Source organism: Homo sapiens, chromosome 6, assembly GCF_000001405.40.
Source record: "Homo sapiens chromosome 6, GRCh38.p14 Primary Assembly".
In the NCBI taxonomy this organism is placed as follows: Eukaryota; Metazoa; Chordata; class Mammalia; order Primates; family Hominidae; genus Homo; species Homo sapiens.
In genome coordinates, this window is record NC_000006.12 from 124423244 (window position 1) to 124448858 (window position 25615).

General features: G+C 37.0%; 1 protein-coding gene across 9 annotated transcripts in view; it reads left to right on the forward strand.

The window, feature by feature from the left end:
* The window catches only part of NKAIN2 (sodium/potassium transporting ATPase interacting 2), a 1021776-nt gene that overhangs the window by 619379 nt on the left and 376782 nt on the right, over positions 1-25615 (forward strand). The window contains exon 4 of one of the 9 annotated variants that reach the window (NM_001300738.2): positions 14660-14673. The exons of the other annotated variants lie outside the window; for them this stretch is intronic. Coding sequence (NP_001287667.1) covers positions 14671-14673 — 3 coding nt within the window. The 5' untranslated portion in view covers positions 14660-14670. The remainder of the gene's footprint in view (positions 1-14659; positions 14674-25615) is intronic. 9 annotated transcript variants of the gene reach the window in all.

Consider the following 25615-nt stretch of genomic DNA (forward strand, 5'->3'; position numbering starts at 1 on the left):
AAAGAAGAATATACAAGCATTGATCTTACAGCCAATGAAGCACAGTGAGAAAAGCAAGGGCTTTGGAGTCAGAAAGACCTAGACTCTGAAGTGAATGTAATTGTTAGACATGTAAGTTTGATCAATACATCTTACCTTTGTGAGATTTATGTTCTCCATATGTAAAATGTACATAATAATACCTACCTCATCAGGTTTTCAAAGGAGCACATATTTATGTTTCTAGCCCAATATAGGGACCCAAAAGGTGATGTTAATTTTGACACTACAATCAAAACAAATAAAAAATTAAACAGTGTTGTGGTCTGAATGTGGAACCCCAAATGCATATGTTGAAACTTAATAGCCAACATGATACTATTAAGTGGTGGAAACTTTAGAAGGTGATTAATTCATGAGGGGGCAGAGCCCTCATGGATGGGATTATGGCCCTTATAAAAGGATTTGAAAGAGTGGGTTCCTTTCCTTCCACCTTGTAGGAGCACAGCATTCATCCCTTTCAGGGGATGAAGCAACAGGATGTGATCTTTGAAGCAGAGGGCAGCACTCACCAGACACTGAATCTGCTAGTGCCTGGGCAGATGTCTCTTTGAGATACTGACTTCCTTTCCTGTCCTAGCCTTTAAAACTGTGACAAATAATTTTTTTGTTCTTTATAAGTTATCCAGTCTCAAGTGTTTCCTTAAAGCAGCACGAATAGACTAAGGCAGTATGTAATACATATTATACTGTTGTAAACACTTTTAATTTAACTTTTTTATTTTTTTGAGACAAGAGTCTGGCTCTGTTGCCCAGGCTGGAGTTCAGTGGCGCATTCTCGGCTCACTGCAAGCTCTGCCTCCCGGGTTCACGCCGTTCTCCTGTCTCAGCCTCCTGAGTAGCTGTGACTACAGGTGCCCGCCACCATGCCCAGCTAATTTTTTGTATTTTTAGTAGAGACGGGGTTTCACAGTGTTAGCCAGGATGGTCTCCATCTCCTGACCTCATGATCCGTCTGCTCGGCCTCCCAAAGTGCTTAATTTAACTTTGAATAAAAATTGTCTAAAGGGGTATAATGTGCTGTTTTGATACACATATACAATGAACTGATCACTCCAATAAAACCAATTAACATATTCAGCTCATTACATAGTTACTACTGTGTGTGTGTATGTGTGTGTGTGTGATAAGTACACTTAATATCTACCATCTTAGCAAGTTTCAAACATACAACACAGTATTAACTGTAGTCATCATGCTGTACATTAGAACTCTAGAACTTCTTCATCCTACATAAATGAACTTTTATACCCTTTAACCAACATCTCATTTTCCTCACTCCAACCCCTGAACCATGACTGGACCCCTAGTAACCATCATTCTACTCTCTGCTTCTATTCATTATTATTTTCTTTTTTAGATTCAACATTTAAGTGAGATCATGCAATGTTTTTCTTTTTGTCTGACTTATTTTACTTAGCATAATGACCCCCCCACCAGGTTTATCCGTATTGTCATAAATGGTAGGATTTCCTTCTTTTTAAGGCTGATTAACACTTTGTTTTCTATATGTCTATATGTTCATCTATGATGCACACAGCTTATTTCCTTATCTTGGCTATTGTGAATAATACTGCAATGAACATGAGGATACAGATAACTCTTCAAGATATTGGTTTCTTTTCCTTTGAATATATACCCAGAAGAAGGATTGCTGGATCAATGGTAGTTCTATTTTTAATTTTTTGAGGAACCTCCAAACAGTTTTCCCTATGGCTATACCAATTAACATTCCCAGAGTAGAGAGCCCAGAAATAAATCTATACATATATGGCCAGCTAATTTTCAACCAGGGCACCAAGAAAAAGATCGTTGCAACAATCTTTGGAAAATCCAATCTGCCACATATTTCAAGGGAGAAGACAGTTTTAAGAAGAGAGATAAAGTCATAAGTGTTTATTACCACAGACAGCCTAGGTTACATGAACATTGAAGAAAAAGATAAGTCTTTCAATAAAGAGTGTTGGGAAAACCGGATATCCACATGCAGGAAATGAAATTAGACATGTATCTTATGATATACACAATAATCAATTCGAAATGGGTTAAAGACTTAAATATAAGACCTGAAATCTTAACACTCCTAGAAGAAAATGTAGGGAAAATTTCCATGATATTGGTCTTGGCAGTGACCAAACAAAAGCAACAAAAACAAAAATAAATAAGTAGGGCTACACCAAAATGAAGTTTCTACACAGCAAAGGAAAGTATCAATAATGAAATGGCAAACTACCGACTGGGATGAAGTATTTGCAAACTCTATATCTGATAGGGGTTTAATATTTAAAATATATGAGGAATTTATACAACACAGTAGCAAAAAAATAAATAATAGCCTAATTTAAAAATTGGCAAAGGACCTGAACAGACCTTTCTCCAAAGAAGACGTACCTACCAATGGTCAATAGGTATGTGAAAAAGTGTTCAAGGTCATTCATCACCAGTAAAATGCAAATTAAAAGCACAATGAGTTATGAGCTAATATCTGTTAATGTGGTTATTACCAAAAAGAGAAAAAATAACAAGTGTTGGAGGGTATATTGAGGAATGAGAACCCTTATTGTAAAGACTGTTGACTTATTCACAATATGATTTTTTTGCCTTCTTACCTCTTAAGATTTTTACTTGTATTATTTTTATTTACATATGCATACTCGTTTAACAAGACAAATTGCTCAAGCCAAAAGTGCCAATAAATCCTTAATAGCAAACTACTGGCCTTTATCTTCAATGTTCATGTAACCTAGACTCTTTGTAGTAATAAACACTTATGACCTTTATCTTTCTCCTTAATACTGTCTTCTCCCTTGGAATATGTAGCTGATTGTATTTTCCAAAGATTGTTGCAACAGTAACTCCCATCTCACTTGCCATTCTTATAATATGACTTTATATTTCTTCTACGGAAAGGTGTAGTCTATGTCCCTACTTGTGAAATGCAGAGAGCTACTGTACTTTTCCAGTGGAAGAAAATCTTTGTGATTTTAAATGAGGAAAACATTTTTTGATAAGACACTAAAAACATGATCCACACTTAAAAAATGATAAAACTGACTTTACTGATACTAAAACTTCTGTTCTTCAAAAGAAACTATTAAGAGAATGAAAATAAAATCCACAGGATAGGAGAAAATATTTTCCAATCATGTATCTGGTAAGTTACTTGTATCCAGAATAAGTAAAGAACCCTCAAAAGTTAAGAATTAAAGAAAAAATAAAACAGAGATAAATGATTTAAACAGACCTTTTGCCAAAGAAGATAGACAGATCGAAAATAAGTACCTGAATTAGTCATTAAGAAAGTGCAGTTAAAATCACAATGAGGTACCAATGTACATGGCTAAAATATTTTTTGAAGTAGCACACCAAGTGTTGATAAGGATATAGAAGAACAAGCATACTGATATGGTTTGTCTGTGTCCCCACCCAAATCTCATCTTGAATTATAGCTCCCATAATTCCCACATGTTCTGGGAGCGACTCGGTGGGAGATAATTGAATCATGGCAGTGGGTCTTTCCCATGCCATTCTCATGATAGTGAGTAAGTCTCACGAGATCTGATGGTTTTATAAAGGGGAGTTTCCCTGAACTAGCTCTCTTCTCTTCTCTGCTGCCATGTGAGATGTACCTTTCACCTTCCACCATGATTATGAGGCCTCCCCAGCCATGTAGAACTGTGAGTCCATTAAACCTCTTTCTTGTATAAATTGCCCAGTCTCAGGCATGTCTTTATCAGGAGCCTGGAAATGGACTAATACACATACACTCTGGTGAGATTATAAAATATTACAACCATTTTGGAAAGCAATTCATTTCTTTAAAAGTTAAATATGCACTTATGTTATAACACATATCTTGGATGTTCTACTCCTAGGTATTTGCCCAAGAGAAAATAAAAGTGTATGACAATATAATAAATTGTACATGAATGTTCATAACAGTTTATTTGTAATAGCCAAATATGAAAAATGACCAAATGTTCATCAACAAATGAACAGATAAATTGTGATGTATCCATACCATTCAATGATATTCAGCAATGTAAAGAAAGAACTACTGATATATACAACATGGATAAATCCCAAAATAATCACCATCATCCTAATCATCATCTTGATTATGGTGATGATTTCATACTTGTATGCATAAGCCCAAACTTAAATGGTATACTTTAAATATAAGAAATATTATATGTTAATTATACCTCAGTAAATTCTTTGTAAAATGTAAAACAGCTTCCAGGAGAATCTCATTCTCTTATGCCACTTAACCAGGACTTTTCAGCAAATCATTGAATCTATGTGTCCCTGTTTTCTTGAATAATTTGGATAAAGAATAGTATCAACTACATAGCTTGTTAATCTTGCTTTAGTATTAAATGAGTTAATCTCTGTAAACCCCTTAGAGGTGCCTGAAATACGATCTAAGAATTAGTTATTAGCTACGCTTAATATATAGGAAGAGGCAGCAGGTTCCTCACTGGTCTTATAGACCACATATTTCCCTGATGTGATGGAAGTCTATTTCTTCTTTCAGTGTCACGAAACCACGGAAATAGGTCGTTCGGGGCTACAAAATCTTTGTATTTGGCACAGCTACATGTTGGCAATCTAACAATTTATTTTAAAAATTATTTAAAATAAAATACTTAAAATTAAGTATTACTTAAGTTTTACTTCAAGAAAATGGAATGTCAAAGACAGATTTTTCTAACACTTCCAAAGACATTTTCCATATTTGCTCATTTCCTTTTGGTCTGGGTTCTATGTCACTATAGTGCTCTTTAGCTCAGCAGAATATCTCCTCTATATCTCCATGAATAACTAAAAAAATAGATCCAGCAGGTTTTCAATTGCTAGTCACTACTCAGAAATTTTGTTGTTTTTAAAAATCTTTCATTCTGGAATTCCTTTCACTCCTTCCATCTCCTAAGTACCATAAACTGAGTTTTTAAACATAGCTTTTCATGGAATGAGTACTTCTTACAAAATAGAAAATACCACCGAAGAGCTGGAGACATGTTTCACCCCAACCCCAGATTGCTGGAAATAACTAGGATTCTTCCATACTATATACGACACTTTGTTAACAATATCTCTGGGCTGAGATGCCATATCTGAGAGACCAAACTAAGTATACTTGGTTTTTTATTTAGTGGAACTGAAAGCAGCTGCATTTCTGTTTGAATTGCTCCCTGAGCTCTCCTGCAAATATATAAAGGGATGTTATAAATAAGTTAGAAGTTGATGATTCTCATTTGTCAGTGAGGGCAGCCTAAGTAAAAGCTACAGCAGGAAAAAACAGAAGCAAAATATTAGGAAATCCTTCATAAGTGTAGGGTGAGTTAATCATTCAGAAGCTATTCTCAGAGAACCTGAGGAAATATTTAAGGCTAGGGACAATATCTTTTCTCTGGAAAAGATAGCAAGAAGGAGATATGTCTTTTCCAAGATTAAATACAGGATTTTGTAACTTGATTCTCTGATATTACCAAATTAATTTGAACACTGACACTTCAAGACTAAAGGTATGTGCATCTCTAAGTATGCATGTGTGTGCCCGTGTGCTGATGTGGGGTGTGTATAAGAGGGGTAAAGAATATGCATAGCAGGGTTTTAAATCACCCAGCCCCTTGCTTTCTTGTTCTCACGGGACATGGCTGTATCTGCAGTTCCAGCAGAACTAGCTACTTTCTGTTTTCTGAATATGAATGTTGATATCCATTTGTTCTCATGCATGTGAACTCATACTTTTACTCTTTTTTTTATGTTTTGAGATAGAATTTCACTCGTTACCCAGGCTGGAGTGCAATGGTGGGATCTCTGCTCACTGCAACCTCTGCCTGTTGGGTTCAAGCAGTTCTCCTGCCTCAGCCTCTGGAGTAGCTGGGATCACGGGTGCCCACCACCACTCCTGGCTAATTTTTTTTTTTTTTTCTATTTTTAGTAGAGACGAGGTTTCACTGTTTTGGTCAGGCTGGTCTTGAACTCCTGACCTCATATGATTCACCTGCCTCAGCCTCCCAAAGGCCTGGGATTACTGGCGTGAGCCACTGCGCCTGGCCCATATTTTTTCTTTTTGAATTTCCATTATTTATTTATTAGTTCCATTGCTGCATTGGCTGAGATAACTTCTTCAACCTCCCTAGGCTGATGTGAGAAGTCTCTCCTCTGTGTTCCCATGGCACTTTGTGCATACTTCTGTTGTGGCTAGCCACTCAGTTCTATCAACATCAGTGTGGTTGGCTCTCTCCAGATGGAATCTTTCCAAGACTGGGGTCATATTTTAATTTTCTTTGTATCATTGGTGCTAAGACTGTATTTGGCTTTGTAGTTGGTGTTTTTCATAGGCTTGTGGAATGAAGGACTGAATAAATAAATGAAGAAATGAAACCCTGGGGCTTCAAGAGGCAGTAAACAGGTGCAGTACTTCAGGGGACTTTATTGTGTTGGTGCTGGCACTGGTGACACAGACACTGGTTTACTGTGCTGGTCTCTAGCAGCTACTGCTCCCCTTGCTGCCAGGTCTTTTCACGTCCCTGGGCCTATCCTGAATTGCTGGGGAGTCTGGCAGGGTGATCAGTTGAATGTACTTAAAAAAGTGCAAGATGCTAGAAAGAATTAGCATCGGGGACAGAGCTGAAATAACATGATCAAAATAAGATGAATAAAGAGACATTAAATTTAGGTAGATGAAATGAGGCAATAAAAAAGTCAAGGGGAAAAATATGAGAAAGATTTCAAAGGAAAGAGCTGTGCAATAAAGACAAATATTTCAAAATTCTGCAACAACCCAAGAGATCAAATATGTAATGTAAATTGCCAAGTGCAATTATTTTTAAGGAAAATGAATTACTGGAATAATTCCTTGAGGAAATTTACAATATAGAGAATTTTTCTGTCAACTAAAAAAATAAAGTCCTCTTTCATGCTATGATATTTGAGAAAATAGCTCAAGTTATTTTGAAAAGTTTCTCTAGAAATATGTGGTCATAATGGAATCATTCTCACTTTGTGCATATGAGCACATGTTCCTATCATATGTTGCTGTATAGCAAGCTATCCCCAAATTCCAAAATTTAGTGATTTACAATAACAACAATCATTTTACTGTTATCTCTTATGGAGGTTGACTGGGTTCAGCTTGGGAGTTCTCACTTGAGTCCTTCATGTAGTTGCTATCAGAGGACGGTTTGGCCTGCAGTCTTCTAAGGCACACTCACTCACATGTCTGGTAACTGGGCTCATAAGATGCAAATAGCCAGGGGCTGAAACAATCCAGTATCTCCTTCCATCTCTTTACAGTATCTCCATGTGGTTTCTCCAACATGGTAGCTTCAGATAGTATTCTTGCATGGTAGCTCAGAGCTACGAAGATGTATATTTCAAAAAAAAAAAATGGTGGAAATGTATTTCCTGCTTGGCTTCAGTAATCATGCAGTATTATTTCCACCACGTGTATTCCTTGAGAACAGTTACAAAGACTCTCAGGTTCAAGAGGAGGTGACATATACTCCACCTCTCAATGGGTGGACCTTTTAAAACCATCATATACATTTTCTAACACAGAGCAACACGTGCACACACGCGCGCGCACATACACACATGCACACACTTCCTTACAAGCTTTCAGTTACTTGGGTGTCAGGAATTTTCAGCATGATTCAGACATGCTTTTAGAACTGCTCATGTCTTGCTAATATGCATGACCTCCATAGACATGTAAATGGAACTTTATTGAGTGAAAATGGCAATAAGTTAGAATGAGATAACTTCTTCATTGCCTATTTTTAGAGAGACTAATTCCTAGAGAGATTTTACAAAATGCATATGATTGCAGTGGGATTGCGATGCCCATTCTGACACTCTGTAACAGGCAAAGGTTGCTTGGGAAACAGAAACTGCCAACTGTTTTGCATCCAGGGGCTTGTTTGATGGAATAACTGATTTTTCTTGGTCCCTCTTCTCTATTTACTCGTTGCAATATCTCTGGCCAGATTCCCACATGTAGACTTTCTATTTATGCCTTATTTTCCACTCTCTTCAGAAAAATGACTGAAACTACTATCACTCCACTGCAAATCAAAACAAAACCATGAAAGCCAAAGCAGTCACCAAGATTATTCAAAACGTATTTTAAAATAATTACCACCATTGATACCATTACAAATGTCTGATGCCAGTGTTCTTAATCTTTTGTTTTCTATTATTGTCCCGTGAGAATTTCCTTTCCCATGATAGTTGAAACCACAGATATATTATATGCTATATGTATATCTGTGCTTTATACATATAAAATAAGATATTTTAACCCCCTCAAGAGCCAATTTTTCCTCCTTGGGATGATATAACATCTATGGAAAATATATGACCTATAGGTATTGATTTAAACCAATGATTTAATTAATTAGAACAGCAAATGGGAGATACTGCCATCTCAGAGATTCACATCTAAATTTTGACATTTTCTAAGTGTTTGTAACACACACACACATATATAATTGTGTTCATATATCTAAATATCTGTACATAACACATAGGAAACTCCATAAATCCTTATGTAAAGAGATATTTCCACCACCACTAACAGCAACAACAACAAAAAACAAAGAGGAAAAAATAGTTATTTCACATATTTCAGATACTGAAATATATCTGTAAAGGCCAGAATCGTTGTTCAGAAAGAAGACTTTGGGAAACAAGGGAAATAAAAGCCATTGTTTGGCTTTTAGAAATACACAAACTTTGTTAAACTCCCTTCTTAATTTGAATAGGGATCTGTGAGAATAGCAAATTTCAAAAAGGAGATATTGTAAGTGTCACAATTGTGTACATGCCTTGTACATGGAAGCGCTGCATTTACTGCCATGCTTCAGAATCAACCATGCAATGGTCAGGTGGCCCCTTTTTCTGGGTCAGAAAGTCAGGGAATTTCAAAGTTTAAAAGTTGATGACAGTACTATAAGCAGTGAAAGACAGTTTAATCTGTAATGCCCCTCACAGGCAGGCAACATGGGCTTGATATGTTATTGTCAAGCCACATGTGCAGTGTTTTCTGTTCCATAACTAGGTTCAGTTGTGTGCTTTTATAGATCCTCAGTGTACAAATGTATGCATGTTAAATCTTAGGTAGTACTAAGTGCTTTTAGAGAGCTCTATTTAAAATTATAAAGCTTTAGCCAGTCATAGTGGTGTGCGCCTATAAGTCACAGCTTCTCAGGAGGCTGAGGAGGGAGGATCACTTGAGCCTGGAAGGTAGAGGCTACAGTGAACCGTGATTGTGTCACTGCACTCCAGCCTGGGCAGCAGAGCAAGACCTGACTCAAAAATCTAAACAAATAAATAAATAAAATAAAATTATAAAGTTTGAGTGAACCACCATATAGAGAAAGATTTATGTTTAGATTAAAATGAGGATGAAATAAACTGACTAGATCTCCAGCCTCTATGGCCACCAACAAGGATCATTGGTCTACTTGGTGGAAACCCTGAATCAGCTTCCCAGATTTGGCTTCACAGTCACCTCTCTTAAGAGGTCTCTCCAGACTGCTTCTTCCCCCACAGTCAACCACTTCCTCCTCTGTGTCTCCAAAGCACTAATATACCCCAAGCACACTATAGGAACCATCTTCCTTGTGAACTGGCCTGCTTGGCTCCCCCCGACACATCCATGAAGTTGTGATCCTCTAAACAGTCAGGGCATCTAGCTGTCTTTGTATCCCTAGTTGGGAAACACAGTATGTGCACGTGTAAACTATGTTTTGAAGAAAGGAAGGCAAACTGGCAGGTTATGGTAAGTTAGTTTAATCGACTTTGGAGAAAACCTGGTATGGCCTCAATATCAGCCCTCGCCATTCTGACCATTCACTCTCAGAAGACACAGGCACTGAAATTAGGCGGTGGAAGCACTGAATTGGACTGGGCCACTTTTTCCACTTGCTTGTTAGAAAAAGGGCATAATTGTATTCCATAACTTCACTCTTCCCCTCTTTCTCATGAAGAAAACTCTAGAGAAAAGAAAGCTAATGCTGTGTCTTTCAAACGGGGGAGAATTTGTATTTAGTTGAATCTCATTGGTATTTTTATGGTGGCATTGCTGCCCTTGGAGGGGCAGTCCTCCCCAGCTACAGGATAGAACTTGTCTCATTTTCTGTCACCAGCCCCTATGACTTCATATAGAATTCCAGAATTCTGATAAACTGTCATGTGGAAAAATGATAAAGTGATTTATGCTCAATTTTTCTGGAAGGGAGAAATGCAAGGGCTGTCAGTCTGGGTCTTGAGAACAAATGAGTTACAGTTCATGAGGCAGCTCAATAAGGCTATCATTTCCCATCAGCTCCTATCACTGACAGCCAAGATTTACTAGCTGGGGAATGGGAAGGGGGCTGAGATTTGGTGCCAGGTGAATCGGCACTATTATTCTATCAACCAGGCTCATATAGACAAGAGGCTACCATGAATATTTGATGGAAGTGTCTTCCCAGAAATGTTGTGAAACAGCATTAGTTTTCTTCCATTCGCCAGGAGCCTCTCCTTTCTATCCACGTGCACCTCTTTGAAAAATGACCACTTGTAAACCACAAAAGCATTTGGGATTGTTTGTTTTTGCTGCTCCGGCTGGTGGTATATTCCTCTTGGCAGTCTGTGCATGCAGTGCACTAATTCACTGTCCTCCATTCTCATAGGATAAAGCGAAAAAAATCCCTCATCTACTGAGATGCTATAGACATTACATCTGTCATTATCCATCTGATGCAGTGGCAGTGAGCGTATAGCCTTCCAGCCCCCTATGTGCTCAGAGAAAACAGACTTTGATCTATGGCATTTGCTGTGTTCTCCAGGAAAACAAAAGGTGGAGAGGTGGGTTTGGACTCAGCATAGGCCTAGCAATTGCTCTTGCTGATTTACTCTGAAGTAGAAAAACATAACTGTAAATTCTAAAATATTATATGTCTCTTTTATTTGGGACATTTGTTTTCAGTGGGAAGGGGCTTTGCAGGGGACACACATCAGTACATTTCATATGGGTCAGGTTATTTTTTAAAAAAGACACACTTAACATTTGCTTTTTTGAGCTAGGGAAATGTATTTCTAAAATCTCTTGTGGGAAGTTTAGTATTTAGTATTTATGTTGTATTCAAAATCATCTGTAGATGATTTCGAATGCACCGTATCTATTTCATCATTTCTCAAGTGTAATCTTTTGTAATCTTTGGAATGTTAGTTCCAAAAGACAACAGTAGGTATTTGGTGAACATGTGGGAAATCTGGGCCATTTAATAAGGAAGATATTTTTGAACTGCTAGATATTTTGTTTGTCTTTCTACTGCCACTACATAGGCAGATTGCTTCATTGCATTATGAAACTTTCACTTCTCTTAAGAAATTGTCTAAATGTTCAGTCTAGTGAAATATTGAGCAAAAATGTTTCTTTTATATGAGTATGATGCCAGTTGCTGGCTACCAGTCTTTCTGGCACTGTGAGATCTTTCCTTAATAGCAGTATAAGTTTTGAGGCTGCCCAAGCCATGCCTTGTAGGGTCACGTAGTGGGTCAGTGAGATGGCTTATAGAGTTAAGTATGCAAAAGATGGTCAGAGAATTTGAAGCTAAGACAATACAAATTTTGAGTTTTAACTTATTATTTTACTCATTCAACAAATATTTATTCAGTAAATATTATATGCAGCCATCATTCTTGAATAGAGTTACTTATTAATCAAGAGAACAGAAATAAAAATAATTATCATGAAGAGTTTCAGAAAATCACAAATATTTTGAGAGAACTAATCAGAGTGAGCTAAAAGAGAGTGGTTATTGATTTTAGTTTGAAGTCAAAGACATTTTTCTGAGGCAATGACTTTTAAGCTGAAATCTGGATAACTAGAAGGAATATGGCATGCAAACATCTTGAGAAGGTGCGTTCCCAGACAAGAAATAGCTAGAATGTTTGAGAAATCAAGGAAAGTCAGAGGCAAGACTGTAGAGGTCTTGGTACATCATTAAGTTGTATGGAGCAGAAGACTTCAAAGCTCTATTTCTGGCCCCAGGAAGTCAGATACACTCATAAGTTTCCATAAAAAACAAGAAAGGAAAATTACGGTTGATGAGTATTCTCCGCAACCATCATAGCTAATGTTAAATGTGTGTTTTTTGTTTGCTATAGTTCTAAATGCTGTATATGTATTAAATCTTTCGATTCTCACAACAATCCTATGATGCTGTATTTTTATTAATCCCTTTACTGTACACCTGCAAACAGAATCACAGAGACTTTAAATGCACTTCCCACAGTCTCACAGCTAGTAAGTGACTGAGCCAGGATTTGACCCCAAGAGGTTTGGCTCCAGAGCTCGTGTTCGTATTAGGAGACTTACCACTGAGGAAACAGACTTAGAGGAAGTCTTTGCTGGATAGTTTTTCTGAACTTCATGTGAGTATACAACTTATGCCACTGAGATCAAAATAATAACAAAGTGTTATATTTTTCTCAAATGCTTCTTTCTTAGGCTTACCTAATCCTTTATATTAAAAAGTCCCAAAGCCTAACTAACATTCTATAGTCCAAACAGACACAGTATTATTGGGTTCTTGGAAATCTATTCTTCAGAAATACAAATTCTAAAATAAAAATACCAGATTAAATATAAGTAGTTTCTTTATAACGTTTAAATTCAGAATCCCCAATGTCAAGTGCTCTACGGACGAAATATTCACTTTATTACTTTTTAAAGTTAAGCTAACCCCAATATAGAGAATTAAATGATAGACAGTAAACCAGCAGGTTTTAAGTTTTAATCCACGTATCTTTGTCTTTCTGCTTTATCAGCTAACGTATTATCTGCCTTAAAGGCTTCTATTTGGTACACTGATGGAAATGATATGCTGAGTATTGTATGCATTTGTAGTCTGTATACTTTCATTTGATGACAAAATGTTATTCATTAAAACTAGCTAAAAAAGACCCTCTGTAGTATCAATTGTTTCTTCTCTTAATATTAGCTCAGATGCCTTTCTCAGCTCCTTCCTCTAAGCATGAAGTAAGATACACCAGAAATGAGGACTTTTCCAATTAAAGCAGCACTCACAGAATTTATAAATGCTTGTTTTTCTATCATTACAATATCATAAAACACCGTGTTTTTGATTCATGAACTTAAGAACTGATCTAATTCATAATATCAATAAGTGAGAATAAAAAGAATTTCAAGTTTGTGTTTATTCATATATGAATGCTTTGAGAACATAGAAACGTATTTGAATAGAACTTTTAATCCCAGAACTGGAATTTAGTGAAATTGAAATTTCTCTTGGTGCCTCTCTCCCACAGCCCACTCCAATCCTAGAGCAAATCCCCTTGCCTCTGTCCTCAGGGTACACCCGGAATCCCACCACTTTTCTCACCTCCACTGCTGCCAACCTGGTCCAGGCCACCAGGATCTCCTGTCTGGCCTCTCACTGGTTCCCAGCTTCTATTCTAATGCAACAGTTCCTTTAAATGCAGGTTCTTTGAAAGTTTAAGCCAGAACATGTCACTGCTCTGCTAAACACCCTCAATCAAGAGGCTTCCATCTTCTGCTAGTAAAAGTCTGCAATGACTATACGGTTCTCCATGAGCTGGAGCTGCCTCCTCTCCCCATCACCTTTATCACCTCTCTTCGCTCTGCTTTTAGCCACCCTGGCTTTCTACACTCCAGGCCCACACTGTCTCAGAGCTTTTTCACTTTTGGTTTCTGTCCTTCGAATGCCTTTCCTCTGGAACATATGCATGACTCTGAGTCAAATGTCTTTTTTGTGACTCTTACCCTAACTACCTATTTTAAAATTTCAGTCTCTCACCCTTGCACTGTCAGTCCAGGTGGCTCTGCTGTATTTTTTTCCATAACACTTAACAACTTAAATCATACTGTATAACTAATGTATTAAGATGACTTACCCTAGAAAATGAAATCCAAAAGGGCAGGGAATTTTTTTCTTGTTTATAATATATCATCCAGTGGCGCCATGCCTGGCACAGAATAGGTGCTCAAGAAATATTTGAGGAATTAATGAATCATTGCCTTTTAGTTAAGAACATTTGTCAGTTTGACCAAGTAAATAATTGCAAGTTTTATTTTTGCCAATTATTTGATCACAAGCCGTTATGTTCTGTGATACTACATTATTTCATTTTATTCTTTCTTTTGCTCTTTTTTTACTTCCCTTCCTTCCTTCCTTTCTCACCTTCTGATTTCCATTCTTTCTCTTTCTCTCCTGCTTCTCTTTCTTCTGTCTCTGTCTTTTCTACCTATCTCATTCAACAATATGGAACAAGAGTTAGGTTCTGTGAATATGCAAAGTTGAATCAGAAGCTGTTCCTCCCCATAAAGCTCACAGTCTAATCCTAGAAACTTAGAATAGAAACTGGCCATTCATGAGGTTAAGTGCTATGAGGTAAGGCATGTGCTTTGTGCATAGAGTTGGAGGTGAGGTTAGGGAAGTAGTCTAGTGGGATGATGCTTGACTTGGGTTTTGAAGAATGAATAATAATTTCCTCAACGCATGGGATACGGTAGCTGAATTGTAGGGAATACGTACTGATCTATTGATTTTTTTTTTTTTTTTTTTCTTAACCCCAGGTAACGGTCTGATGGTAAGTTCTGATTTTCTCAATAGTTATTATTTGTACAATTTTAACTGGCAGCTCCTTATATCTGGAAATACAGAGGCATGTGGATATAGCAAGAAAGCCCATTGGCATCATATTAAATGAGTGCATTTAGACCTGGGCTTCACATATGATTATCCAGTGAGTGAAAATTTTACAGAAATGGCTTTCTCAACACATAGCTTGTCATTGTTTTCATCATTATTGGAAAATTTGACATAATTTGTAATCTGAGAAAGAAAACCAAAATTTAGCTTGATAATCAGCGTCAAGCTGCAATAATTGTCTAAAAATCCCCAGAATTTAATTTTAACTTATTTCTGCTTCTATAATGTTTTTTTTCCAAACACTTCACCTTATAAACACTACACCCACTCAGTTTTAGAAAAGAGGGGACAGGCTATTTGAATGCATTGCTATCTTCTGCCATGTGGAAGATAAGAAGTCACTCTGGGTAATTCAGGATCCTTACTTATGTTATCAATTATTCCTTTTGTGTTTTGTTTATTCAACCTCTAACTTAAACTCAGTTTTTTCTGTTGACTCTTAACTGTGCTTCCTTCTGAGAGATAGAGATAGATACAGAAAAGAAAGAAGAGAAATCATTATGAACAAAACAAAAACTCAGGGCTTACTACCTTTCACTTGTCATCCTCTCTGTTCCACTTTTTGCAGCTGAATCTGTGGCCATTTCCTCATATGTTCTCACTGCTTAGCCTGCTCTCATGCAGCGTGCAGCCTTCCCTTTCCAGCAAACAGCTCTTGATGATATTACCAATGGCCTCCCTGTCACTAACTAAATAACATTTTTTCAGTCTGTCTTACTTGCTGTATCAGCATCATTCAACACCAATTCTCACACCCTCTTTCTTGAAACATTTTCTTTCCTTGTCTTCTGGGACACAACAGCCATCTGTTTTTCCTCTGTAAATGTTTCTCCAGTGTATCCTTTTATAAGTGTATTTTTACGACCCAGCTGCTAAATCGTGGAGTTAATAAAGGCTTGCTCCTAGGCCTTCCTTTATTCACACTATCCAATGTGATCTCATCCATATATGGAGCTTCAATTACCGCTTATTAATCTATTCAAGTGGTTCCCAAAACTGTATCTCAGGCATACACTTCTTCAGATCCTAGAATCACATATATAACATTTTACTCGACAGCTCTTCTCAATAGCTAATGGCATCTCCAAAGTTAAAGTGTGAAACAAACAACTCCCGATTTTCGCATTACGCTTCCGCTCTAAAGAAACCTAGCTTGGTTTTCATTCTGTGTTTTCTAGCTCATGAATGATACCACCAATCACCTGGTTGCTGATTTAAAAACCAGAGTCACTTTTTACTCCCTATGTTCATCCTAAAACTAAGTACTACAGATTTCACCTGCTAAATATCTCTCAAATCTCTCAATCTATCCACTTGTTGTTTTTTTTTTTTATCTCCATGAAACACTCTCATCTGTTTTGGGTGGACGACTACACGGGGCCTGCTCATGAGGTTACATCTCTTATCCTTATTTCTTCGTACACTAGACTCAGTGGTCTTTTCAGAAGCAAATCGTATGATGTCAGGCTTTTCCTCTTAAATACTTTCCCACTATCCTTAGGGTCTGTATTAGGCCTTTAAAATTATTTTAATGTCTAGAAAATCCGAATTCTAACCTCTTCCTGCTTGTTTTGTTTTGTATTTGTTTCCGTTTTTTTTTTAATCAGATCTGTGTTTTGGATGTAAAATAAGTCATTAATGTATATACTACAACAAAAAATATTGCCAATAAAACAGTAACACAAGCCTTGTTTATCACATGAATTATAAACTGCATTTCAACTTTAGAGATATAAAAATGTGAAAAAGGAATGTGGGCCATATACATGATGAGAAAATATGATATTTCTTCTGGTCCCCGCACTTCATCTCCTTGTCTATCTCCTTCCTCTCTCGACTCATCTCAGATAGGGGTCTCCAGGAAGCCTGCTCTGAAGATTTCTATGCAGGAAATTTACTGGAGCACACTCTCAGGATTAACACCTGAGGGTGATCCTAAAAAGCAAATTTGGGTAGAGAACTATGTCTGAGATGATTCTACAAAGGACTCAGGCTGGGATGGCCCTTCTTCAGTATCTTGAATTGGACAAGAAGTCTAGACATTTATATTTCTGCATTAACCAATCATCAAATGTGAGCTGCCTGCCCATAGAGAGCAGACATGACCTTGAGTCAATTTCTAGCAAAGCAAGCAGCTGGAGAATGAGTGCTCAGTCCTGAGGTAGGACTGATGAATCTAGGTGACACACCACAGTATCCGCTATAGTCCACTTCCTGCTTTATATAGTAAGTTATAGAAGAGCTGCTCCAAGATTCTACTGGTCCTCTTTTACCTGGGCATAAGTTGCAAGAAAAAGTTTAATGGGATAGACTTAAGCTCCTTTTGCTGCAGCTGGTCTCAAGACCATAACTTATACTTTCACCATTAGTCCTGAATTTCCTTCACCCTACATTAGTACTTCTGAAAGTCTAGGTAACTTGCCAGATGAGGTGGCTCAGATCCTCATACCTGAGAAGTCTGATCCTCTTGTTACCATCCCTTTCTAGGGCCATGCCTGCTGCACTTTTCTACTTACCATTAAAATTGGGCAAGTGAGTACCAAGAAATGTCCAAGTGGATCACCTAGTTTCCAAACTAAGAATATGATTCCTTGATCCACTGTGTAGTATCAGTTTCACCTTCTAATGATCAATATCATTTAGCCCTTCCAGGATGCAGACTTCTCTCTTTGCTTCGTAGTCTCTTAGAATGAGAAGTCCTAAGTTACTGGGCAAAACCTAGATTTTGAGATATAACGGGACACTTCTTTGTCCCTTGGTAGAAGTATGTTCTCTCTCAGAATCAAGACATGTAAATCTGTACAGCCTAGAATTATGGAGACAGGAAGCAGAAATTCCTCCAAGTGGTTCTCTAGGAATGATTGTAAGTAGGTCCATTCCTACTTTGACTCCATAGTTTCTAGACACATATATTCTACCTAGCATGGACACACAGTGCCATATACTAGTAATTGATTTCACCTGTACATTGTCATCCTTTCTGGGTATCACCTAAGATCACACTTGGATAATTGTGTCTTAAACAGGCAATTTCTTCACTATGTATAAAGCTGGAAGCTTATGAATGGTCAGTATATGATAGAGCCGTGAATCTCATGATTCACACACTTCTACCCCTCTTTTCTCTAAGATAAGTCAGTTTTTATAATATGGCTTTATGCAGAATCCTGTGTCAATGGATCAAACACTGTAAATCTCTAGACTCTAGTTCTGCAGAGTTTCTGCAGGCAGAAAAGAATAATCCATACCATGATATATATTAATTCCAATCAAGAGAAATGTGGTAGTTTAAAATGTATCCAAAAATTCCTTAACAGTCCTTCACCAAAAAGTGGACTTTAATATACTTTCTCTTGAATATGGTATAGCTTTAGTCATCTGCTTTTAGTGACACTGGCAGGAGTGAAGTTACGTGACTTACAAAGCCAGATTAGAAAAGGTGATCCAGTTCTCGCCTGGCTCTACCTTGCATTTGGGACACATGTCTTTAGAGTCCACCACTATGCTCTGAAAAGGTCCACATGGAGGAGTTTACCCACAGACTCAGCTGAAGTTCCAGCTGAGAGCCAGTATCTATTTCCAGCCATGTGATTGAGCAAGTACACTTTCAGATGATTCTATTCCCCAGCCTTTGAGCTGCTCTGGCTTATGTGCAGTGAAGCAGAGAAGTGTTGCTGATTTATGAGCAAAGCAAGTGTTGTCATTTTAAGCCACTAGAGATGGTTTTCTGTGCAGCGATAAATAAACAAAACATAGAATTACTACCCCTTCTAGGTGGAAGGGGTTTAATATAGTCAACTTTCCACCATATCTGTGGCATGTTCCTTCAAGGGATAGTGCTATATTGGGTGCTAAGTATTTTCTATTCTAGCAGGTTGAATAGTTGATGAGGGCAGTAACTAGATAATTTTTGTAAATGGGCCCATGTACATTTACATACACATAAGACTAGCACTTGGGCTGATGCTGAGTCTTCTGTCGTGTTGGCAGGTGCTTCTTGTGCATGTTAGATCAATATGAAGATTTTAAATATAGTGCCTATTCTCATATAGTCATTAACATGCCACCAATCCAGACCTCCTTATCCCTCATCATTCAACTCTTCCCCTTCCAGATCCATAATCAACCAGCTAAGCCCTTTGCCACTGTCTGTGAGTCAGTCTAAGTTCTACCTAAGGCCACTTTTATTTCCAAACAAAGTGGACAACCAGATGCATGACATGATAACCATTGGAGAATTGAAGATATGTTAACCATTGGAGAATTGCACCTCCCCACTAAATTTTCCAGTCACCCTTCAGCAGAGCTGTAAAGTCATCAATGCCCTTTTTTCTTTTTCTTATGTCCATGTAGTAAGCTGATTGATGCATGGCCCAAGCTTGAACGTTTTCTTCTTCTGCCAGCTAGTTATAAAGGACCTCCCTCCCATTCAGCCATATGAATTGAGAGCCATATGAATTGCAATAATGGTGGATGGCATGGGGATCTAAGACACCGGCTCCTGCATCTTATTTGGAACCCCTGGTCTGGCTTATGCCCAATCCCTGAAATACCATTTCTGTGTTACATTAGATTGTTACTGGGTACACCTGAATTATGATGCAGTAGTTCTGATAGACACTAGATTATAATGGGTAGTTCTGACATAGTGACCTCTACCCTATGTTCAGTCACTTCATCTTTTCCAAATCCCAGTAGCATGCCAGAAGCTCTATGTTGGCATGGTCTTGCAGATAGTATGGTTTTGCTCCAGGATCATACAGTCTATGTTATGATTCTTCTTTTTGGATTTTACATAAACTACCATTAGGCTTGCTCATCAAAGATGTTTCTGGCATCATAATATTTTCTGGGTTGTTTGTCCCAAGGAGCAGGGCCACTTATACCACAGCCTAGTTCTGTTTTAGACTCTGCTCAAAGCTGACAGCCCTTCATGTCATGCGGTAAATGAGTTTGAGCAGTATTCTCAAGTATGGAACTTGCTATGCTCAGAAGATTGTGTAGCCTATAAGGTATTGTTTGCTTTTCTTGGTAATGACAGTTGCAAGATGCAATAATTTGCTTTTTACTTTAAGGAAGTGTTTCATGATGTCAGAGACCATTAGACCCCTACACGCTTCACTCATGTGTGGGGCTCCTCAATTTTTATTGGGTTTTTCTCCTATCCTCCCACATGTGTCTTCTCAAGCCTCCAATTCATTTGCTACTTTTGCTCTTCTGTTTCAATTAGCGGGATGTTATTGATATGGTTCCATCAATATAGTGAACAAAGATGATATTCTCCAAGGTGTCCAGACAATCAGTTCCCTTCAGACTATATTTTGACATAAGAAAAAATAATTAACAGTATATTGGAGTAAGGCAATAAATATTTACTGTTTCTGATCGCATATGACATCCAGAGGCAGTACTAATCTGCTCTAGCAAAGATGCCATGTCTGGTATAATGGTTGCAATTAGAGATAACACTTGTTTGTTTGAGTCTTCAGTAGTTTACTGTCATTGACCAACATTCTATCTGGCCTTAGTATGACCCAAACCTGCAAATTATAGGGGGTAGCATAGGACCATTATAAGGGTGGCTTTAATCTCTGCTATTCCTTACAGGGTGAGATACTGATTTTACTGTCTTGACAGGGTCTAATATTTGGACTTCCTCATTACAGTAGTTCTTACCCCACACATCAGGAAACGTGTCATAAATTTGTAACTATAAAGTATATCCATTCCACTATACAGTCATGACTAGGTAAATGATCATAGCTGTGAGCACTTCCCTTACAAGATCTTTGCAGACACTGTTTCTTCTCCAAAATGCTGTTCATTTTCTTCTTTGTGTTCTTAACTCTTATCTATCCTTTCAATCTCGTATATCTGAGAGACATTCCTGACTATATGAATTCCCACTTCATATACTCTTATATGACCTGTAACTCTCCTTTTTAGTATATAGCAGAGTTTTGGTTTTATAATCATTTGCATGAATATTTAAGTAATATTTATTTTACTGACTAAGCTGCAAGCTTCATGAAATAAAGGGAGGATTTTGTATTTACATCATCTACCATAGCACCTGGCATGCAGTAGGAATAAAAGTTATTGTTGATAAATTATTGATTCGATAGTTGATATAGAATAAAGGTGAATACATTAATGAATTATGGAATGTACTAGAATTTGGATTAGAAAATTGATAGAAAATCTCAAATTCTATCTTATAAAAATAGATTCTTAGGACCCTTACAACTTCAAAAAAATGTTTATTAGTATCTGGCACATAGTATAAATTATGTAAATAGTTTTGACTGAATGAATGTATGGCACACAGATTTGATTCTACATATTTTATCCAGACTCATGTTTAACTAGCTTGAGTAGCTCAAAACCATTTTAAATTCCTAACTGGGATGGTTGTACCGTAATGGTTGTTGCTTTCAATATGCCTTTAAACATAAGACACGCATATAACAACATTTTAGAGAAATAGGAGTAACCGTATTATATATACTGTTAAATCATTCATTAAGTCAATGTGTTTACTTTTGTTCAATTTTACATATTCTCAACTACAAAACTTTTCTAGTATTAAATATATTCTTGAATTAGGCTTTTATTCTGTGTGACATTTTATATTATGTAACATGTTAGAGCATATTAAATATAAGAACATGAATTTCTATCTCCTGATCTTTTTTTATGTCCCTATAGAATTCCAAACACAAAAATTACAAAAAAGAAGTAATTTCTCATTGAGAGAAATGTCTGATTCAAGGAGCTTTTTTGAAATTTAAGAAATTGAATTTTAAGAAATTTCTTATTAGGAATGAATCTCATGAATGCTTTTAAATATTGCTGAAGGATGTATGTACAGAATTTAGAATATACAATTATTTGGAAGCAAAAAAATGGAAAATCTGCAACTCTTCATCAAAAGGAATTGTTAAAAAAAACAAATAATACATGCATGCAATGGAATACATACCTCAAAATGCAGACTACGAGGTCATTAGAAAGAATACAGTGGATATATGAGTTTTAATAACGAAACCTCTGCAAGGATGTCTTTAAGTTTAAAAAGTCTTTAAGTAAAAAAGGAAAGTATAGAGCAACTCTATGTAGAATGGTATCTTCTGTGCAAATAAAACTTTCTGAAAAGATACACAAAAAATTGTTAATACTTCCTAAGGAAAGGATTAGAAGGTGGAGGAAAAGTATATCATTCACTTTTTGGTTTTTGCTCTTCTTTGCTATTTGAGGTTTTATGTTGTCCCTATATTACTTTTATCATAAAAATTAATTTGAAAAATACTTTTTATTATTATATCACTTTATGAAATAAAAACTTTAAACATCCCTGTATTTGTTAAGGGTTGAAATTTTGTATTGTTGTCTAAATTGCATTTTATTGTACATTTTATTTCTCAGGTCATTTAATATTTGATTTCCTCTGGAAGACAAAAAAAATTCAAAATAATCAATAAGACTTCACACTGTTTTATTATTGAAAATGTGATCAATTTTTTTTCCTCACAGTTATCATGCCACTGTTGGATCAGGTTTCAAAATGTCATGTAACAACACTTTGTTTGTGATTAACACCTATAATCTTTTGTCATGGCAACAATGATATAATAAATGCTGAAGGAAGCGTTGACTGAAAACCATGTATTACTGCCAAGTGTTGGGACATTAAAAGGGAAAAGAGAGGAAAAAAGAAAAAAACAAAAATGAAAACGAAACAAAACAAAAAAAAAAAACAGACACTGCTGCCCAGGCTTGGCATGTCATTAAGGATGCTATGTGACCTCTTCACTGCCTTTGCTAAAAACATACGTGAGATTGCCAGTGGTTCATTCATCTGGCTAATTCTATGTATATATAGTACATATTTGTTTTGTAAAGTTCATCAAAATCAAAATAAACAAAGTCATTTTCATTCAATTTGTGTGCCTTCAAAATGGGGGAGCGGGAATCCCTGTGCAATGTAATTCTTTACTTATTTGCAGAACAACGGCAGAACATTGGTCTTGTTGGCTGTCTTACTCTGCCAGGAGTCCTGTTCACCAAGGCATGGCAAGACCAACATCCTGTTTATTATTTTACTCTCATTATGTTGAAAGCAAACACTACATTATTGCTTTTGTTCCTCCATATTGCTTCTATAAGAGTGTCACATATACAAGAAACATTTGAAATATTTCTATTGGTCATGCTAGTTTAGGAATTTAGAACCACTTTGAAATGGGTAAAGCTCAAGCCTCTCTCCACAAAACTTTATAATTGCAAAATATATAAGTTTTTTGTTTGTTTGTTTGTTTGTTTGAGACAGGGTCTTGCTCTGTTGCCCAGGCTGGAGTGCAGTGACGTGATCTCAGCTCACCACAGCCTCGAATTCCTGGGCTCAAGTGATCCTCCCACCTCAGCTTCCAGAGTAGCTAAAACCACAGCCATGTGCTACCACACCTGGCTAATTTTTGTATTTTTGATAGAGACGGGGTTTTGCCACATTGCCCAGGCTGGTCTTGAACTTTTGACCTGGAGCAATCCTGCCACCTTGTCCTCCCAAAGTGCTGGAATTACAGGCATCAGCCGTCACACCTGACAAAAATATACAAGTTATATAAAATTATATAAAACATCAGATGATATATATGCTTGTATTCTATGGGAAATGGGGTCTCTATGAAACGTGGCATCTCATTACTATGTATGTGATAATATCCAAACTCCTTTGTAGGTATATACAGCTCTTGTTTATCTAACTTACACCAATTTTCCAGTGACTTTCCAACCAGGAAAGATTCTGTCCACAAGGGGACATTTCACAAGGTCTGGAGACATTTTTATTAACACATTATGATGATGGTGGTGGGAGCATGTATCTAGTGGGTGAACAGCACGGATGCTGCTATACATCCTACAATGCACAGGACAGCCCCAACAACAACGAATAATTAAGTCCAGCATGTCAGTAGTGCCAAGGTTGAGATACCCTGGATGGCTTTTTTCTACTGCCACTTTCCAAATCTTATTCAGCTTCTTCTACACATTAAACCTCTTGTCATTTCCATTCTCTCTACAATGCCCTTCCTCTTTGACCACATAATCACTCATGTTTGACGTATTTCCTTTTGGGTAACTATTCATCAGTGTTTGCATAGAACTCTGCTGAGAATGCCCCCGTTGTAATATTATGATGTTTACTAGCATATATATCCTGCCCACCAGACCTTAAGCTCCTTCAGGGCTTCTGAAATGCTAGTGCCTGGTAGTCAGTAGCCACTAAATAATATTTGTTGAATGCTAACTGAATAAAAATAAATTTTTAAGGTTAAAATATATTTAAGTTTTGTTTGATGTTTTCATGAAAGAAGGATGGAAATGCCTTAACCAGTTATTCTTGTAATTAATCCAGGAGGTTGGCTATGATGAAACTAGGAGGAAATGACCTATTATAGGAAATAAAATTTCGGTCACAACAAAGGAATACTCTGCTTGGAAGTTAAATCAGGCCTTATGCAGTTGCAGGTGCTTTCATTATGCAGAAGATGTAAAATACAGTGATTGAACGGCACTTTCTTAGCAGAGAGATGATACAAGAACAGGTCATAGAATCTTAATTGACTTCAGCTATTTCAAGCATTCTGCTATCCTGTAATCATTTTAGCCTGACTTCTGCATAATTGCATCCCATCTCTGCAGGGCATAGTAACCGTGGAAGCTTCTCCAGGACTGAAAGTTTTTAAATGCTGGTGAGTTTGTGGAGGTGCAACTGAAACTCATTCTCTCCACTCCTCACCCTGTGGCACATATTAACACGATGGCCCTCTGTCTTCACCTTTCTCTGTGAAGTGCTGTCACTCCTTCAAGTCATTAGGTTGCCCTTTGCACTAGAGTAAATTCCATCGTATGATGTGTGAAGGGATACAGTATGTATCCCTTAAGTATGGTGTCTCCAGTTTCTCTAGAGCATGGATGTATTTTCAGTTTCCCCTGCAATGCTGCATACATTGGACTTAACATAACATGTGGTCTGAGTTCAGGCTCTGCTGTTTGTCAACTAAATGGCGCTATGCATATTACTTATTATCTTGGGTTTCAGTTTCTTTACCTGTAAAATGAAGCATTGGAATAAATTATCTCTAAGGACACTCATGGGATGAATCTCCTTTAATTCTATGATTACTATTGATTAAGGAAATCTCTGCTCATTATCTTCTATGTGCACATAAGGGATTTTATCGTGGCATGACCCTCAGCCTACTTGATGTTTAAACAACTTGCCATCAGACATTACTGAGAACTTTACTAATTTAAGACTACTCAAATGAATTTGCATTGAAATTGTGACCAAGACCAAGAGAGACTTGTCAATTCCCTTCAATAATCAAACAATAAATGCTTTTCCTTAATTTGGAAGCAGCTTCCTGCTTCTTGCCCTATCTCTAGCCTCTACAATCCATATTCAGGGGACTGGCTAACAGAGAGACACTGCTGTCCATTGTCTGGCTAGCTAATAAATCCAATCTCCCTATGAGCCTGTTGTGAACTTTGGTTATACTTCCACAGGATAGGGTCAAGAGACACTAACCTTAATGAATAGAAAGCTACACATTTCCTGTATTGGGATTTTTTAGTGCATTATGAACCATTTAGTCTTTTCTGGCAGCCTACACTTAAGGAAACATGAATTCTGGGAACAGGAATGGAGCTTCTAAGCATAGATTCTAACCTGAGGTTATTTTTGTTAAATGTCAGCTAATTCTGCCTATGTATAGTGAATAGAATTCATGATTAGAATTTAAATTATCAGTTCCTGT